Source organism: Homo sapiens, chromosome 8 (assembly GCF_000001405.40).
Source record: "Homo sapiens chromosome 8, GRCh38.p14 Primary Assembly".
NCBI classification, from domain to species: domain Eukaryota; kingdom Metazoa; phylum Chordata; class Mammalia; order Primates; family Hominidae; genus Homo; species Homo sapiens.
This window is the reverse complement of record NC_000008.11, coordinates 42,372,395-42,391,367: the sequence shown is the minus strand read 5'-3', so window position 1 is coordinate 42,391,367 and position 18,973 is coordinate 42,372,395. Positions and strand designations below refer to the sequence as shown.

The 18,973-nt window shown below is 45.7% G+C and overlaps 1 protein-coding gene across 3 annotated transcripts; it reads left to right on the top strand.

The window, feature by feature from the left end:
• On the top strand, window positions 46–17,305 carry DKK4 (dickkopf Wnt signaling pathway inhibitor 4). 3 transcript variants are annotated; one of them, XM_017013316.2, is made up of 5 exons: window positions 46–327; window positions 14,196–14,433; window positions 15,538–15,688; window positions 16,455–16,607; window positions 17,009–17,305. In XM_017013316.2, the coding sequence occupies exons 2-5, from the start codon at window positions 14,323–14,325 to the stop codon at window positions 17,266–17,268; spliced, it is 675 nt and encodes a 224-aa protein (XP_016868805.1). In that variant the 5' UTR covers window positions 46–327; window positions 14,196–14,322; the 3' UTR covers window positions 17,269–17,305. The 3 variants fall into 3 exon arrangements, with proteins under 3 accessions (XP_016868805.1, XP_011542790.1, NP_055235.1); XM_011544488.3 differs by lacking the exon at window positions 46–327 and adding an exon at window positions 6,269–6,798; NM_014420.3 differs by lacking the exon at window positions 46–327 and having other exon boundaries at window positions 14,139–14,433.
• The last annotated feature ends 1,668 nt before the right edge of the window (window positions 17,306–18,973 follow it).

The window sequence follows — 18,973 nt, the reverse complement described above, 5'->3', positions numbered from 1 at the left end:
TTTTGGTAAAGACGGGAATCTCCCTATGTTTCCAGGCTGGTCTCGAACTCCACGGCATAAGTGATCCGCCCGCCTGCGCCTACCAGAGTGCTGGGATCACAGGCCTGAGCCCACGCCCAGCCTCTTATGGGAATTTCATTTCAGACTGACCAGACTTCAAGAGTGTCACTCTTAGGTCATCTCGTCTTAAGGATGAGAATACACAGGTCCCCAGGGAGTAAGTGATTGATTCAAGATCCCACAAGTAGTGAGAGATGATAATTCAAAGGGGCAGAGGATGTGGAGGAGAAAAAGCTCTTCTGTAGAGGAGAAGACCAACTAATAAAGGTAGAATAGATGACAGAAATAGAAAATCATCGTCTTGGAACCACCATGATAATAATTGATTCAGGCTGAAATGATCAGTGGACCGTTGAGGATGTTCATATGGTTTCAAAGTATCACCCCCATAGATTACTCACTAAAGAGAAAAGGGTACCTTCACATCAAAGAGACTGATCAAACGGGGGATGGTAGGGACTGACATATGCCCCTGGTGTGAGGCACAGAGAGGGACACAGAGATAATATTCTTGTAAAAGTGTGTAATTTGCCTCTCTTCAGGACGAAACAATCAGGCAAATCCAAACTGAGAGACCTGCAAGACAACTGCCCAGTCTTCAAAAATGTCAGTTTCATGAAAGATTAGGAAAAAGGCTAGTGAACTGCTCTAGGTTAAAGGAAGCAGCCTGTAATCCCAGCACTTTGGGAGGCAGAGGCGGGCGGATCATGAGGTCAGGAGATCGAGACCATCCTGGCTAACACAGTGAAACCCCGCCTCTACTAAAAATACAAAAAATTAGCCGGGCGTGGTGGCGGGCGCCTGTAGTCCCAGCTACTCGGGAGGCTGAGGCAGGAGAATGGCGTGAACCCGGGAGGCGGAGCTTGCAGTGAGCCGAGATCGCGCCACTGCACTCCAGCCTGGGCGACAGAGCGAGACTCCGTCTCAAAAAAAAAAAAAAAAAAAAAAAGGAAGCAAAAGATATGGCACTAAAAGCAATGTGTGATCCTAAATTAGACCCTGAATAAAAACCAAACAAACAAAACCAGCTACTGAGGAACGTTATTGGGACAATCGGGGAAATTTGAATGGAGAGTAGATTAGTGTGGCAACAATGTAAAATTTTCTGAGGGGGCCCCGGGCGCGGTGGCTCACGCCTGTAATCCTAGCACTTTGGGAGGCCGAGGGGGGCGGATCACTTGAGGTCAGGAGTTCGAGACCAGCCTGGCCAACATGGTGAAACTCCGACTCTAGTAAAAATACAGAAAATTAGCTGGGCATGGTGGCGGGTGCCTGTAATCCCAGCTACTGGGGAGGCTGAAGCAGGAGAATCAACTTGAACCCCGGAGGTGGACGTTGCAGTGAGCCAAGATCGTGCCATTGCACTCCAGCCTGGGTGACAGGGCAAGACTCCGTCTAAAAAAAAAAAAAAAATTCTAAGGATAGTGTACGTTGGTTATGCAGAAATGGCCTTGATTTTAGGAGATGCATGCTGAAGTATTTAGAAGTGAAATATCATGTAGCTGCAACTAACCCTCAAATGATCCAGAAAAAAAGAAAAAGCAAATATGATAAAATGTTAACAATTGGTTAATCGAGGTGGAACGTATATGTGTGTTCATTGCACTATTCTTGAAATTTTCCACTGAGTTTAAAATTTTTTTTGAAATAAAAAGAGACAAAAAGTCCCCCACAAAGTCTGTGATACTCCACAGTACACAATACCAAGTTGCTGCTTGAATCAAAAGGCAAATATCAGATTTGACCGCTGTGTGAAAGGTATTTGAAGTTAATAAGAGATAAGTAAGATACATGTCCCCAAGAGACTCATAATGTAAGACTTGGACAAATATCTGCTGAATGAGGCCAAATATGGTCAATGTCATAAGCAAGGTAGTATAACCTAGTAGGCGAAATAAAGTGAGCTTAGGAGTCCAAAGAGCTGAATTTGTGTCTCAGCTTTGCCAACTCTGTGGTCTTAGGCAAGCATTAACCTCTCTCTGCCTCAGTTTCCACATCTGTGAAACAGAACTAACTTAATATCTACTCAGGATTGTAGTGGATATTAAATCAAATAATGTATCCAGGCCGGGTGCCATGGCTCACTCCTGTAATCCTAGCAGTTTGGAAGACTGAGGCAGTGGATTGCTTGAGCCCAGGAGTTTGAGACAAGCCTAGGCAATATGTTGAACCCCATCTCTACAAAAAATACAAAAATTAGCCAGGCATGGGTGGCATGTGCCTGTAGTCCCAGCTACTTGAGAGGCTGAGGTGGGAAGATCACTTGAGCCCAGGGAGGTCAAGGCTGCTGTGAGCTGTGATTGCGCCACTGCGCTACAGCCTGGACGACAGAGGGAGACACCATCTCCAAAAACAAACAAATAATGTAACCATAGTGCATAATTTACCTGGCTTATAGAAAATGTTCATCAGTAAATAACACATGAAAATAAAGGAGTTGGCTGGGCGCAGTGGCTCACGCCTGTAATCCCAGCACTTTGGGAGGCCAAGGCAGGCAGATCACAAGGCCAAGAGATCGAGACCATCCTGGCCAACATGGTGAAACCCCGTCTCTACTAAAAATACAAAAATTAGCTGGGCGTGGTGGTGTGCGCCTGTAGTCCCAGCTACTCGGGAGGCTGAGGGAGGAGAATCACTTGAACCTGGGAGGCGGAGTTCGCACTGAGCCAAGATCATGCCACTGCACTCCAGCCTGGCGACAGAGTGAGACTCCGTCTCAAAAATTAATTAATTAATTAATTAATTAAATAAAAGAAGAAAAGAAAAGAAAGGAGTTTAGACCAGGTGCGGTGCCTTGCACCTATAATCCTAGCACTTTGGGAGGCTCGGGCGGGTGGATCACCCGAGATAAGGAGTTCGAGACCAGCCTGGCCAACATGGTGAAACCCCGTCTCTACTAAAAATACAAAAATTAGCCGAGCATGGTGGCACATGCCTGTAGTACCAGCTACTCAGGAGACTGAGGCAGGAGAATTGCTTGAACCTGGGAGGTAGAGGTTGCAGTGAGCTGAGATTGCCCCACTTCACTCTAGCCTGGGCGACAGAGTGAAACTCCCTCTCAAATAAAACAAAACAAAAAGAAAGAAAAGAAAGGAGTTTAAAAGCTATACAGGCAAAACTCACGTTTATTCATATACATATGAATATTAGAGCCACAACTTCAGACTATCCTGTGAGGCGAGGAGTACAAGTGTAGGCTGAGCAACATAGTGAGACCCTGTCTCTAAAAAAAACATTTTTAATTAGCTGAGGGTGATGGTGGCCTCCTGTAGTCCTGACTACTGAGCAGGCAGAGGTGGAAGGATGGATGGCTTGAGCCTGGGATGGGAGGTCAAGGCTACAATGAGCTATGATCATACACTGTACCACAGCCTGAGTGACAGACCAAGATCCTTATCTGTTAAAAAAAATTTTTTTAATGGAAATTTCACAACATTCTGTTATCTGAAGGTCTTTCTTCTGAAAGGACCTGACAACACCAGTCCCAGGTAATCCAGAAAGACCTGAAGCAAGAAGGTGATGAGAAAACCGTGGAGGAAGTCAGCTGCTGCAGGAAGGATCCATCCTTTGCTTCCTGTCCCTCTAGTCCTGTCCAGTTAGCTCGCTCTAGATTCACACTTAATGTCCTTATCAAGACTGGCTTTCATTGGCTGAGCGCAGTGGCTCACACCTGTAATCCCAACACTTTGGGAGGCTGAAGCAGGTGGATCACCTGAGGTCAGGAGTTTGAGACCAGCTTGGCCAACATGGTGAAACCCTGTCTCTACTAAAAATACAAAAACATTAGCTGGGCATGGTGGAGGGCACCTGTAATCCCAGCTACTCAGGAGGCTGAGGCAGGAGAATAACTTGAACCCGGGAGGTGGTGATTGCATTGAGCAGAGATCGTGCCATTGCACTCCAGCCTGGGCAACAAGAGTGAAACTCCATCTCAAAAAAAAAAAAAAAAAAAAAAAAAAAAAAGACTGGCCTTCACCACCTCAGAACTACAGCCAAATAATGCACTCGTTCTCACATTCTCATTTCCCACCCACACTGCTATCTAAACTCTTGGGAAGTGTGGAAAGGGCTTTCTCAGTCCAAATCCTGATACCAATACCCATGGCATTCTCCTGTCAAATCAATAGAATCAGAATTTTAGAGCTGGGAAGGGACTCTCAATGCCTTCCTTTGAGGGATGTTTGCTAAGCGTCTTTCGTGTCCAGGGCACAATGACAGTGCTCAGAGCTGCCATCCAGGGAAACACCCAGAGCATCTGAGTGCAGAGGCCCAGGGAGATGCTGTCCCCAAGGGAGCAGGCTCCCAGCCCAGGTCACCCGCTGAGCCAAGGTAACCCCCTGTGGCCTCGTTCAGAGAAAAATCTTGGAAGTTTAGTATAGTTTTACTCTCAGAGATTGAAAAAACAGCTGAGAACAGCAGCTCTTCTGTAAAGACTTCATAGCTCAATTACCCTGAGTGTAGGATATGATTCTGAAGCCAGCTGTGTAGTTCAATTCCGTTTCTTTAAAGAAAAAGGGCTGGCCTGGCATGGTGGCTCACGCCTGTAATCCCAGCACCTCAGGAAGTTGAGGCAGGAAGATCGCTTAAGGCCAAGAGTTCAAGATCAGCCTGAAAAATATAGCGAGACCCCCATCTCTATAAAAAATAAAAAATTAGCTGAGGTTGGTGGCGCACGTCTGTGTTCCCAGCTACTCAGGAGGGGCTGGGAGGATCGCTTGAGACCAGGAGGTTGAGGCTACAGTGAGCCGAGATGGCGCCACTGCACTCCAGCCTGGGTGACACAGTGAGACACCATCTCAAAACAAAAGCAAAGCAAAGCCAAAAGAACCCAAATGGCCAACATCTAGCGGACATTAAATAAATTATAATACATCCATATTCTGGGTTGTGGTATAGCCATGGGTTCTGATAATATTTGATGATCTTGAAGAAAGGCTCATTGAAAAAAGATAAAGGAGGGAACAAAAGTATATGTACAGTGTAATCCCAATTGTGTGTGTGTGTGTGTGTATTGTAATTTTAAGAAGCAAGGGAGCAATAAACATAAACATCAAGTTGGGTGCAGTGGTGCACACCTATATCCCCAGCTACTTGGGAGGCTGAGGCGGGAGGATCACTTGAGCCCAGAAGTTTCAGGCTGTAGTGCACTCTGATCCTGCCTGTGAATGGCCACTGCACTCCAGCCCGGGCAACACAGTGAGACTTCGTCTCTGAAAACAGCAACCTCAGTGTATACCTCCAATCCGGGGAGGCAGACAGAGGGATTGGGAAGAAGAGGCGCACATGAGCAGATGTAGGCATTAGTAATGGCTAATTTTGGAACTGATAGTAGATTAATTATATTGCATATTAAATAAATAAATGCTGCATGTACATATGTATACATGACTGCATAGAAAAAAATTGGGAAAATTTTACCAAAATTTCTAGATATCTGACTTCAATTTTCTTCCTCATACTTTTCTGTATTTTCCAACATTTCTAAGATTTGGGAATGTATTTCTTTTATAATTGAAAAAGTGAGGCTCACTTGCATAAGTTGGGGAAGAACCTAGATGTATGAGAAGGACAGTGCTATTCCATGGGAAATTTCCACCAGAAATTGGGAAATGCTCCTGGAATCAGGAGCCTGGACTTTGTGCTGGGCCTTCTGAATGTGCACCTCACTCTTTGCCACAAGGGGGAGCAAGGAGACAAGGTAAAAGAGAAGCCAGACCTGTGGGGGCAGTGGCGGTATGGGGGGGCCAAGGTGACAAACTCCCCTCCCACTCCCCATGTGTCCCCAGAGCCTCACCCAAGATCTTCATGAGGTTATGAACACAGCTATGAATTAGGATCTGAGCTGTGTCTGAGGACTTTCTACCAAAGTCAGAATCTAATTTGTGTATCGTTTTTAGATTTTTTTTCTCTTTTTTTGAGACGGGGTGTCACTCTGTTGCCCAGGCTGGAGTGCAGCAGCGCCATCTCAGCTCAGTGCAGCCTCAACCTCCTAGGCTCAAGCGATCCTCCCGCCTCAGCCTCCCGAGTAGCTGGGACTACAGGTGTGAACCACCACACCAGGCTAATTTTTCTATTTTTTGTAGAAATGGGGTCTCACTATGTTGCCCAGACTGGTCTTAAACTACTGGGCTCAAGCAATCCTCCTGCCTTGTCCTCCCAAAGTGCTGGAATTAGAGTGCCTGGCCACAGGTCTAATTTGAATGTCAGAAGGGCAGCAAGTAATTACTAAGTTGTTTTATGGAGAAACCAATGTTGTCACCATACCACACACAGCTATGTTACAGCCCTGATGACACCACCTACAAGTCATTTAGTCTCAGTCACTTCCTAGTGAAGCTCTAGCTTCCATTTAATCAGAGACAGTTTGGGAAAGAAGGAGGTGACATACAACCAGAGTCGTAATTGGAAAATAGCCCAGGCAGTGTTCCTTGTGATTTTATGTTGTTTTCATCAACTTGGTGTTTGGAAATAGACGTCAGTTAGTGACATGTGTAGCAGGCATAGAGGAAAGAATGAACTTTGAAACCAGAATTCTTGTGTTCAGATCCCAGGTCTGCAGCCCCCTCGTTGTGGGCCTGTGGCAGATTAGTGGTCCCTCCGAGTCTCGGTGTCTTCATTTTTAACATGGAGACGACCAGAGGGAAACTCCTGGCTGGGTAAGGCCCCCCAAGAGAGAGGCTTCAGCTGCAGGTGGCTTTCTTTGGCCAAAGTCCTGGGAAGGCCTGGACGACACTCAAGGTAGGAGCCTGGGACAGAGGGGCCAAGATCACACCCGCTGAGCCAGATACACCTCAACACCTAGAAAGACTGGGTTTCCTAATGCAACAGGATTCACCACTTAAATCTAAAGAAAAGAATCAGATGTAGCTGGGCACTGTGGCTCATGACTGTAATCCTAGCACTTTGGGAGGCCAAGGTGGGAGGATCGCTTGAGCCCAAGAGTTCAAGACCAGCCTGGGCAACATAGCAAGACCCCATCTCCACAAAAAATACAAAAATTAGCTGTTGCGGTGGCATGCACCTATAATCCCAGCTACTCGGGGAGCTGAGCTCAGGAGTTTGAGGCTACAGTGAGCTGTGCTTGCACCACTGCACTCCAGCCCAGGTGACAAAATGAGACCCTGTCCCTAAAAATAAAGAATTGAAGAATGAGACCCAGTTTGGTCTGCATCTTAGGACTCAGATCCAAAGATGGCAGACCTCCCCCCACCATGTTTTGTGTCCCATGAACATGTCAGCCGCAGCGTGGCACACAGGAAGGAAAGCGGGATAGTGCCCAGGAACAGGGTAGGGGGGTGCGGGGGGTGTGGCCCTTAGGACCTAGGAAGGCACAAATGGACACAACTTGATTGTTTTTTCTTTTTTGAGACAGAGTCTTGCTCTGTTCCCCAGGCTGGAGTGCAGTGGCATGATCTTGGCTCACGGCAACCTCTGCCTCCCAGGTTCAAGTGATTCTTCTGCCTCACCCTCCTGAGTAGCGGGGATTACAGGCGCGCACCACCATGCCTGGCAAATTTTTGTATTTTTAGTAGAGACGGGGTTTCGCCATGTTGGCCAGTCTGGTCTCGAGCTCCTGACCTCCAGTGATCTGCCTGCCTCGGACTTGCAAAGTGCTGGGATTACAGGTGTGAGCCACCGTGCCCGGCCAACCTGATTTTATTTTAAAACAAAACAATGGCAGAGCCTATCTTTGAGGAAGGAGGGTCCAGGGACCCTGGTGCTATTCCCAGCCAGATGCCTGTTGTGGAGTCAGGACAACTCCAAGGCTGTTGCTGCTGGAAAGGGAGGTTCCCTGCACCAGCACATTGCACAGCTCCAAAGGCGTGGGCCACGTGCATGGAACATGGTCCAAAGGTGCCTCCTGGAGCTGAGCAACTTGGAGGCCATGGCAGATGCCAGCCCAATCTCCCAGAACACTGGTGTGTAAAAGGCCCTCAAGACCAGAAGGAACTGAGGCTGAGTGTGACATGACCTGCCAGAGGCTATACCGTCTGCAAAAGTGGCTGGCACCAGCCACCCTGGCATCCCCCCTGTGCTGTCCCTGGGTGCTGCCCTTCACTCCCCAGCCTTGTGGAGGGCTGGCCTTACCTTCTGACCTCAGGGAACCAAATGGCAACATTTCTGTCATCTCTGTGATCACATCCTGCGGTTTGTCTGCCCGCCCCATCAACATGCCCCTTCTCATCTTTTATTTGATGGAATATTTCCTGTGAGATTCTGCCAAAGACCTGCTTGCTTCCGTTACTTTGATTTTGTTTTAAGGAAAGCAAAACTTATGGAAATCAAACTGGTTTTGACACAGGAGGCATAACAAATAAAAATTTCCATTCCCGAGTGAGTATAAATAATCGGTTCTGACACCCAGCCTTTGACGTGAACCACAGCAGCTGTCACGCGGGAGGACACAGGTGGCAGGTCTCAAACACGAGTCTGCAATTTTTACCCAAAGAGTGGAATCAGTGCAGAAACTGGGACCTCTGGAAATTTTTTTTTGAGAAATTTCATTTCCTCTAAGCTTAGTCAGTATTACTCGATTTTAGTGTTCCCATGAGCTAGGCGCTCACTGCAAAACTTGAAGCATCAGCCTGAAATTTTCCAGTTAACCCATAATCCTTGCCAGGGGGCATCAGTATGGCAGCACCTTGGCCAGAACTTCGCACGACGGCTTCCTTTGTTCTGTGGCTAAAGGAGTGTCTTGTGGTGCCACTTTTCAAAAGACAGCCACGGCTCCAGGTGCCGCTCAGGAGGCCTTGTGGAGTGAATTCTGTGAGGTCATTGCTGCTGTGGCCTGTGTCGTGAAACTTGTGGTCTGACCTAAGAGCAAAGAGGATGCCCTTTAAGCAGAAACATTTTTTAAGTTTTCCTCTCCACACCTGCTTCACCGTGCATCCTCTCCCCACTGCCCCATCATCTCTAGTCCCCAAATCATGGAGATGCGGGCTCCTGGCAGTAGACGCTGCCACAGGGGGGCATCTCATTTCAGTTGTTGGCATTCTCGCTGAGGGACACTGTGCAGGCAAGCAGCCTTGGGAAATCTGAAAATATACCAAATGTCATGTTCCCAAAACTACTTCACATACCTACTTTCCTCCAAAATTGCTCTGGCTTTTTAGAGACCGTAACCCTAGTCTTATTGCAAAATGAGGCCTCAGATTAAGGGAGGTTTTTCTTTGATGAGTTGTATCGAACACATGTCCATTGACAGCCTGCTAAGGCACTAAAGTCTATGGAAGATGGAAAGTTCTGGCCTGGAAAATGGATGAGAGGCATTTGTTTAGAGGTTTTTTTGTCGTGTTTTTGTTTTTGTTTTTTAGATGGAGTCTTGCTCTGTCGCCCAGGCTGGAGTGCAGTAGTGTAGTCTTGGCTCACTGCAACCTCTGCCTCCTGGGCTCAAGCAATTCTCCTGCCTCAGCCTCCCAAGTAACTGGGATTACAGGTGTGTGCCATCATGCCCAGCTAATTTTTGTATTTTAGTAGAGATGGAGTTTCACCATGTTGGCCAGGTTGGTCTTGAACTCCTGATCTCAAGTGATCCACCCTCCTCAGCCTCCCAAAGTGCTTGGATTACAGGCGTGAGCCACCGCGCCTGGCTCGAGCTCATGGTCTAGTTGTAGAGACAAAGAAGTAGGCAATTGCAGTGGGGTTTTAGAAGCGCTGTGACAGGCTGGCGTATGCACAGATCAGGGCAGACAGGGGAGAGGAGGCCCAGCTGGTAATAGAGTCAGGCCCGGCCCCAAAGCCCACATTCTGTCAGTGCTGAGACAGAGACAGAGATGGACAGACACAGACAGGCACAGGGTCGCTCTTCAGTGTTGTTCACCCCCTGTTGGTGATCCTCTGGCATCTGGTGCTTGCACCCACTCCTCTCTGTCTCTCAGAGGCAAAACGGAGAGCCTGGTTCGTGGAAGACACAATGGCTACTCTTATATCTCCACAGTAGATATCCTGCAAACAGTTGATTGTGCGGACAGCTTTTCTCAAGGCACCCTCTTATCCTGCTCCCCCAACCTGATTTTCATCCTGAATTCTCTGTCTCTAGGCCCACCTCTACCCACCCAGTGCACCAAATCAGAGAAGGCAGGATCATCCCAGCTCCTCCTCCCCTCCCTCCCCACTCCCACATCCAGTGATGCAGCTCGAACTTCAGACTCCCATCCTTTGCTTGGTTCCCATTGTCACTGTGTCACTGCCTCAAATTGGACCTCTTCATTGTCATCGGGGCAATGACAACTGAGTCCTAAGTGGCCCCCAACCTCCCCTCTCTCCCAGTGCAACCTAAGCACCATACTGCCACCAGCATTGTGCCCTGAAAGCAAATTAGATCACACCAGTGTCTTTCTTTTTCTTTCTCTTTCTTTCGTTTGTTCGTTCTTTCCTTCTTTCTTTTTCTTTCTTTCTCTCATTTTCTTTCTCTTTCTCTCTCTTTCTTTCTCCTTCCTTTCTCTCTCCTTCCTTTTTTCATTTATTTTTTCCTCCCTTCCTTCCTTCCTTCCTTCCTTCCTTTTCTTTTTCTTTCTTCCTTTCTCTCACATTCTTCCTCTTTCTCTCTCTCTCTCTCTCTTTCCACTCTCTCCTTCCTTCCTTTTTTCCTCCCTTCCTCCCTCCCTTTTTTCTTTTCTTTTCTTTTCTTTCTCTTTCTTCCTTTCTTCCTTCCTTTCTCTCACTTTCTTTCCTCTTTCTTTCTTTCTCTTTTTCTTTCTCCTTCCCTTCTCTCTCCTTCCTTCCTTTCGTTTGTCTTCCTTTCATTTTTTCTTCCTTCCTTCCTTTCACCCTTCCTTCCTCTCTTTTTTCTTTTCTTTTCTTCCTTCCTTTCTCTCTCTCTCTCCCCCTCCCTCCCTCTCTCCTTCCCTCCCTTCCTTCCTTCCTCTCTCTCTTCTTCTTTCCCTTCTTTCTTTTCTTTCTTTTTTCCTTCCTTCCTTTCTTTCTTTCTCTGTCTCTCTTTCTCTCTTTCCCTCCCTCCCTCCCTTCCTTCTTGTTGGTGGGAGGACAGGGTCTCGCTCTGTCACCCAGGCTTGAGTGCAGGGATAGGATCATGCAGCCTTGACCTCCTAGGCTCAAGCAATCCTCTTGCCTCAGCCTCCTGAATAGCTAGGACTGCAGACACGTGCCACCACACCAGGGTAATTTTTGTATTTTTCGTAGAGATGGGTTCTTGTTATGTTGCCCAGGCTGCTCTTGAACTCCTGGCTTCAAGTGATCCTCCCATCTCACCTTCCCAAGTAACAGAGACTACAGGCAAGTGCTGGCATGCCCAGGTTTTTTATTTTTTGTGGAGACAGGGTCTTGCTATGTTGTTCAGGCTGCTCCCTGGCCTCAAGTGGTCCTCTTGCTTTATCCTCCTCACGAAGTGCTGGGTACAAGCATGAGCCACTGCACCCAGCGGATCATGGCATTCTCAGTCTGATATATCTCCAATGACTTTACATTGTGCAGAGAATAGAATCTGATTTTCTTAGCATGGCATATCAGGGTCTGCATCTTGCTTCATCTCATCCTTCCATCATCTGCCGCAGCCACACAATCTCTCACTAGCACCTGAGTGCACCTCCTCCCTCTTGCACACACCTCACCCTCTGAGCCCAGGTGAGGATATCTCCGACTTCCCAACTTAGGAAGCCCCTATGCAACCAACAAAATTCAGCTCAAATATTACCTCATCTGTAAACACATTCCTTTATTTCTCTAGAAAGTCTAAATCATGCCTTCGTCTGTATTTATATCTTCATAAGTCCTCCACCCTTATATTTATACCTTTATTTTAGTGCTTGTCATAATACATTGAAATCATCCATATGTACATGTCTTCTATCTGGATCTCTCTCTCTCTCTGTGTCACCCAGGCTCTGTCATCCATACATACAAGTTTTCTGTCTGAATCTTTCTCTCTCTCTCTCTCTCTCTCTCTCTCTCTCTCTCTCTCTCTCTCTCTATATATATATATATATATATATATATAGGCTTAATCTCCTGGGCTTAAATGATTCTCCCACCTCAGCTTCCTGAGTTGCTGAAACTACAGGTGAACACCACTATGACTGGCTAATTTTTTTTTTTTTTGAGATGGAGTCTCACTCTGTTGCCGAGGCTGGAGTGCAGTGGCACCGTGTTGGCTCACTGCAACCTCGGTCTCCTAGGTTCAAACAATTCTCCTGCCTCAGCCTCCCGAGTAGCTGGGATTACAGGTGACCACCACCACGCCCGACTAGTTTTTATATTTTTAGTAGAGACAGGGTTTCACCATATTGGCCAGGCTGGTCTCGAACTCCTGACCTCAGGTGATCCATCCACCTCAGCCTCCCAAAGTGGTGAGATTACAGGCGTCAGCCACCGCACGCGGCCTACTTTTTTTTTTTTTTTTTTTTTTGTGGAGACAGGATCTCAATATGTTGCCCAGGCTCGTCTTGAACTCCTGAGCTCAGGAGATCTTCCCACCTTGGCCTCCCAAAGTGCTGGGATTACAGGTGTGAGCCACTGTGCCCGGCCATTGGAGTTTCAAATTTTATTCCTAACATGTAATCCGAGGCTCTGTTCCATGCCAAGTGCTCTAAGTGCTCAGTGGCTGTTTGTGCCGTGTTACAGGAGTTCCCGTCAGTTCTTTCGCCTGTGTATATTGCCAGGGGCCTTTGGTAACCTGAAATTCCCTTACAGTGAGGCAGCAGGAAGCAGAGAAACCCGGCAGAGACAGAACCCTGGGGGCTCTTTCCTTTATCCTTGGTCATAATTGTACAACTTGAAAATAAATTCTGTAACACCCCTAGTCACCAGGGTTATCATGCTATCAAAGGGTGTTGTTTGATGTCAGTTTAAGGGATTAAAACAAGTAACTTCCATACGAGAGGTAGACAAGCAATACCAACCCAAGGACAAGGGCCAAGTAGTAGGAAGGCTCGAATCACCTGCATCACCCTCGGAATGGCACTGCATTACTCAAAATTGAGAATGTTCCCATGCACAGAATGCTGAGATTCATGTCAATGAATTGATGTTAGGTTGTTCTGCAGGAAAATGTAGTAAATAATAAGATTATCATTTATGGCATAGAAAAAATGCATTTTAGATGACTCTATGCTAAGAGCAATGAAACAATGAAGAGAAAAAATGATTTTTTGATCCAGATCTAGATTGTTCTACCCTTAAAGTATTTAAGACAGTGATAAGCACATGTCTAAATTACCTGACTAATAGTCCAAATGGAAAAAAATCAGACAGGAAAGGGATGAAGCAGAAGTTTTAAAAAATTCGTATTAGGAAAATTGGAAATACATGAAATTTCATCTGAAATCAGCCAGAGACTTGGATCCTTGTTCTGCTTAAGTGAGTTTTACATAATGCAACACAAATTAAATATGTTGCTGATAAAATGGACCCAAAGCTTCGTACTGAATTGTGTAAAATGCGCTATCATTGTTCCCACCATTGAAAAATGGGATTTTCATAAATTACATTATTTTCCTAATAACCCTAACTTCAAACAGTTCAATTTTCATTTAAAGGAAAGTAATTTCCCAAATGGCATTTAGTCAGAACAGGTGCTGTTACGTTCACAACTTTTAAGCGGTTGGGATTTTGACATCTGGATGCCAGAGCTAATCAGGGGGCGTTTTCTCTTTTTCTATCTGTCCTCACTATCTGAAGCCCAGTTTACAGCTTCTCAGTGTATTTTGTACCTCATTAGTTTTTGGCATCCTCTATAGCATATTGGCCAGTATGATTCATCCTTTCTTTGAGCACAATTAGCTGTGAAAACAGATCTTAGGGCAGACTCCCTCCCTACCCCCAAAGGATTACTGAAGGTAGGAAATGCAGGTGATTATCAGAGTTTGCCTTTGATACAGACATCCTGCTCTGCCGTGGCCCTTTGAACTAACTTTGATATGCAATAATTAAGAGGGATTGAACCCCTGGAGGAGAAGCCGCATGGCCCTGCCTCTTCTCTCCTTCTATTGAGTCCTTGTTTTGAACTATTGATCAAACAGATTTGAAGGGATTTGTTGAAGCCTGTGTGGGGCAGGAGGAAGGAACGGAGCGGGGAGGAGGCACATCTGGTTATAAATAGTTTCAGGAGGAACCTGCTGGTCAGACTTTGCTCAGCCGATTTCACGCACCTTACTCAGACTAAGGTTTACTTCTTTCAGAAAAAGCAGTGACAAACAGACGACGTGCTGAGCTGCCAGCTTAGTGGAAGCTCTGCTCTGGGTGGAGAGCAGCCTCGCTTTGGTGACGCACAGTGCTGGGACCCTCCAGGAGCCCCGGGATTGAAGGATGGTGGCGGCCGTCCTGCTGGGGCTGAGCTGGCTCTGCTCTCCCCTGGGAGCTCTGGTCCTGGACTTCAACAACATCAGGAGCTCTGCTGACCTGCATGGGGCCCGGAAGGTAAGGCTGCTAGGGAGGGGGGCGAGGTACGGGACTGCTGACAGCTGGGGTGTTTTGTTTAGGCTTTAGTAAGTCATTCTGATTCATGTATGAAATGTCTTACCTAGCAGGTAAATTGAATTGGTTTCGGATTTGGGAGGGCATCCTGGTAGGATCAGTGGCCTTAGTGTGAATGTATGAAATAAACACAGTGGCTTTTCACATCATTCGGCCATACGTTTGTCTATAAATCACGAAATAAACGAACACTTTGGAAGCTCTACTATGTGCCAGCTCTTTTACATGTAATACGTCATGTACTCTTCCTCACAATTTGAGATAGGTGAAACATTCCCTAATTCCAGATGAGGAAATAAGACTCAGAGATGTTGAAGAGCTTACCCAAGCTCACACAGCCAGCAAGCAAACATGGGAATGAGAATTTAAACAGAGGGCCATGATGCATTGCCTTGTCACCATCTAACTTCACAGAGAGAGTTGTTTTAGGAATCGCTTTATGTATGTGTATATGTTATTATATATCGTATAGATTATTACATATATCATATATGCTACACCTACGTTGTATGTCTATGTAGAAGCATCAACTGTGTATGAGAACAATTGATCTTCGGTATCTCTTTCTCTATGTCAATGAGGCATCATTGAAAATCAAAGGACAGTTCACTTAGGGAAGGGTCTCTAAGCTAAATGTGATTCACTAGAGTAAAAAATCAAATAGGAATGCCACAAACATCAATAGTATGTTTAATGAAACTGTAGCCAGCTTCTAGAGTTAAGATATATTGAAAATCTCATACTCACCTGTTAAGACACACATAGGAAAACATTTTTTCCCATTTTCACAAAGAGCACAGGAAAACTAAATTCTGAGTTAAGTCAATTTTTCAAACTCAAATAGCCTTTGCAGCGCCTAGGTCTCCCCGGGTGACATGAGCTTCCCTTTGTGGGAGAAAACCATTTCCACTGGAGAGTAAGATGCTGCCCAGGGTTTGTCACAGCGCCACTGTCCTTTGGCTCCCTCCGCCTCCTGCCTTCAATAATAAGTCATCTTCCATCGTGTTGGGGGTTTCCTAGCCTTGTGATAACAGATTCCCTCCACAGGGCTCACAGTGCCTGTCTGACACGGACTGCAATACCAGAAAGTTCTGCCTCCAGCCCCGCGATGAGAAGCCGTTCTGTGCTACATGTCGTGGGTTGCGGAGGAGGTGCCAGCGAGATGCCATGTGCTGCCCTGGGACACTCTGTGTGAACGGTGAGCGACATAACGCCAACAGTGGTTTTTAAACCGAAGGTAGTGTCTAAGCCCCATAGACTAGAATATTCCAGGGTAGGCACTCTCTAATGGTGCTTCCTAGATTCATGCTTGAAGTAAATGTATGCAGCTGCCTTTTCTTTTCCTTTTTTTTTTTTTTCTGAGGCGGAGTTTCGCCCTTGTTGTCCACAGCTCACTGCAGCCTCGGCCTCCGGGTTCAGGTGGTTCTCCTGCCTCAGCCTCTGGAGTAACTAGGACTACAGGCATGTACCACCATGCCCGGCTAATTTTTGTTATTTTTAGTAGAGATAGGGTTTCACCATGTTGGTCAGGCTAGTCTCGAACTTCTGACCTCAGGTGATCCACCTACCTCGGCCTCCCAAAGTGCTGGGATTACAAGCGTAAGCCACCGGACCCGGCTTGCCTTTTCTTAATGAAACAAAATAATTTATTTCCTGGCAACAGCTCTTGCCAATGACTTGGAGATAATGATTTTAAAGGAAAGACTCAAGTTGTAATCATTCAAATACTTCCATTTCCACTTGGATACCATTAACTACCTTTAATGGAATGCAATTTCCACTTAGCTACTTTCTCTGCCACATGCGAGCATGTAAATATTTAGCACATGTTCCAGAAATCTAGAAAGTTATATATAAACTGAAGGCAGAGGTGCTGCCAAACTATGCAACAGTAGGATAATTAGTGTGTCTGTGGTTCTCCCCCTTGAAGTTAATAATTCTAGTTACACCTGGTTGTCCCTCAGATGTTTGTACTACGATGGAAGATGCAACCCCAATATTAGAAAGGCAGCTTGATGAGCAAGATGGCACACATGCAGAAGGAACAACTGGGCACCCAGTCCAGGAAAACCAACCCAAAAGGAAGCCAAGTATTAAGAAATCACAAGGCAGGAAGGGTAAGAACAGCATTCGCAGCATATTTTATTTCAGAAATGCATTTTCTCCTCCCAGCCTCTTAAGGATAGGGTGAGACTGATTTTATTCTTCTCCATCCCAGAAACACTTAGGAAGCATGTGCTGTTTGTTATCTCTTTCTGTAAGAAGCTGTGGGGGTCACGTAGAGAGTAGCCTAAGGTAGTCTGCAGCCAGTAACAACGATCAATTCTGATGGGTAGGGGTGGAGTCGCCATGGCATTACTGCTTTTAGCGTAACACCTAGCTCTGTGAGACCTGCGTGCTGTGTCTGTTTTTACTTTGTGGCTGTCAGTCATAGGTCCCATTCCCTTATCCCAGTAGCAAACCCCCAGCAGGCCACTTTCCTTATTTATCACTAAAGCCCACATTAACCTTGTTACAGGACAAGAGGGAGAAAGTTGTCTGAGAACTTTTGACTGTGGCCCTGGACTTTGCTGTGCTCGTCATTTTTGGACGAAAATTTGTAAGCCAGTCCTTTTGGAGGGACAGGTCTGCTCCAGAAGAGGGCATAAAGACACTGCTCAAGCTCCAGAAATCTTCCAGCGTTGCGACTGTGGCCCTGGACTACTGTGTCGAAGCCAATTGACCAGCAATCGGCAGCATGCTCGATTAAGAGTATGCCAAAAAATAGAAAAGCTATAAATATTTCAAAATAAAGAAGAATCCACATTGCATTTGAGCTCAATCTTGGACATTAACTTTAAAATGCTTCCATACAGATCTCTCTTAAAATCAAATCTTGTAGCAAGTGAAATAGCCTGAAACTAGAGAACTAAGAGATGGCGACCTTGTGATGAATGAAACTAGCTTTAGCCTTTTGTCCGTTTTTCCAGAAAACTGATGGGACTCTGTAACCAAAAAAATTATTTCTAATCTAGGGACTCAATTAATTCAAATCTTTAAGAATTGAAGCCAGGCATGGTGGCTCACGCCTGTAATCCCAGCACTTTGGGAGGCAGAGGTGGGTGGATCACGAGGTCAAGAGTTTGAGACCAGACTGGCCAACACTGTAAAACCCTGTCTCTACTAAAAAATACAAAAAATTAGCTGGGCATGGTGGCAGATGTCTGTAATCCCAGCTACTCGGGAGGCTGAGGCAGAAGAATTGCTTGAACCCGGGAGGCGGAGGTTGCAATGAGCCAAGATCGCACCATTGCACTCCAGCCCGGGTGACAGTACGAGACTCGGTCTCAAAACAACAACAACAACAACAACAACAACAACAACAAAGAATTGAAATTGTATATATTTAAAGTGTACTGTGTGAGTTTTGAAATACATATACTATAACCGAGCCACATCTCTCTCTCCAAATAAATCTTTAAACAATTTCTGGTGAAGGGTTGGTGCCTGACAGTATCCTAGGGGGTAAAAAATGATAGCATCTGAAGTTAAAAGTAAATTAATTCTTACATCTTACCAGGAAAATTATCACAGCAAATACTATATTTTTCCTTAATAACTCTATTGTTTATTTCCATTCATTTCTTAGAAGGGAAATGGCATTTCACTACAAAATAATTTGGTTAATAAAGAAGTTTCAAGATATCTTATGTTTGTATAGTCCTTTGCAAGTTATAAAGCATTTTCACGTTTTCAGTAGCTTTACTTACCATTTGATAACTTTGTATATTTTATATTTATATAATTTTAATATTTGAAAGGCAGGGCTTTCAAGGAGTGTTTTTACTTACACATTTTGACCACTTGTGCTTAAAAGCCCAGAGGAGAACTCGGGCAAAAAAGTGAAATTTTTGTTTGTTTGAAGTTTAAAAGGGCTGTATTTTGTGCATAGAAGTGGTTGTGCTTAGGGGAGCTCTTTCTAGTGGATTTCAAGCAAGTGCTACAGATTTAAGAGATAAATCATACACCTGTTTTTCTATTCAGGTTATAAGTTTATATTACAAGATTCAATGATATGGTTTGGACGTTTATCCCCTCCGTATCTCATGCTTGAAATGTGACCTCCAGTATTGGAGGTGGGGCCTGGTGGGAGGTGACTGGACCATGGGGGCGGATTCCTCCTGAATGGCTCAGCACCATCCCCTTGGTGATGAGTGAGTTCTGTTAGTTGACACAAGATCTGGTTGTTTAAAAGTGTGGCACCTCCTCTCTCTCTCTCGCTCCTGCTTTCACCATGTGAAGTGCCTGCTCCCACTTCATCTCCCAGCATGAGTAAAACCTTCCTGAGGCCTCCCAAGAAGCTTAGCAGATGCCAGTGCCATGCTTCCTATACAGTCAGCAGAACCATGAGCCAATTAAACCTTTTTCCTTCATAAACTACCCAGTCTCCAGTATTCTTTTAGAGCAATGCAAGAATGGACTGACACAATCAAATATGGGCCCA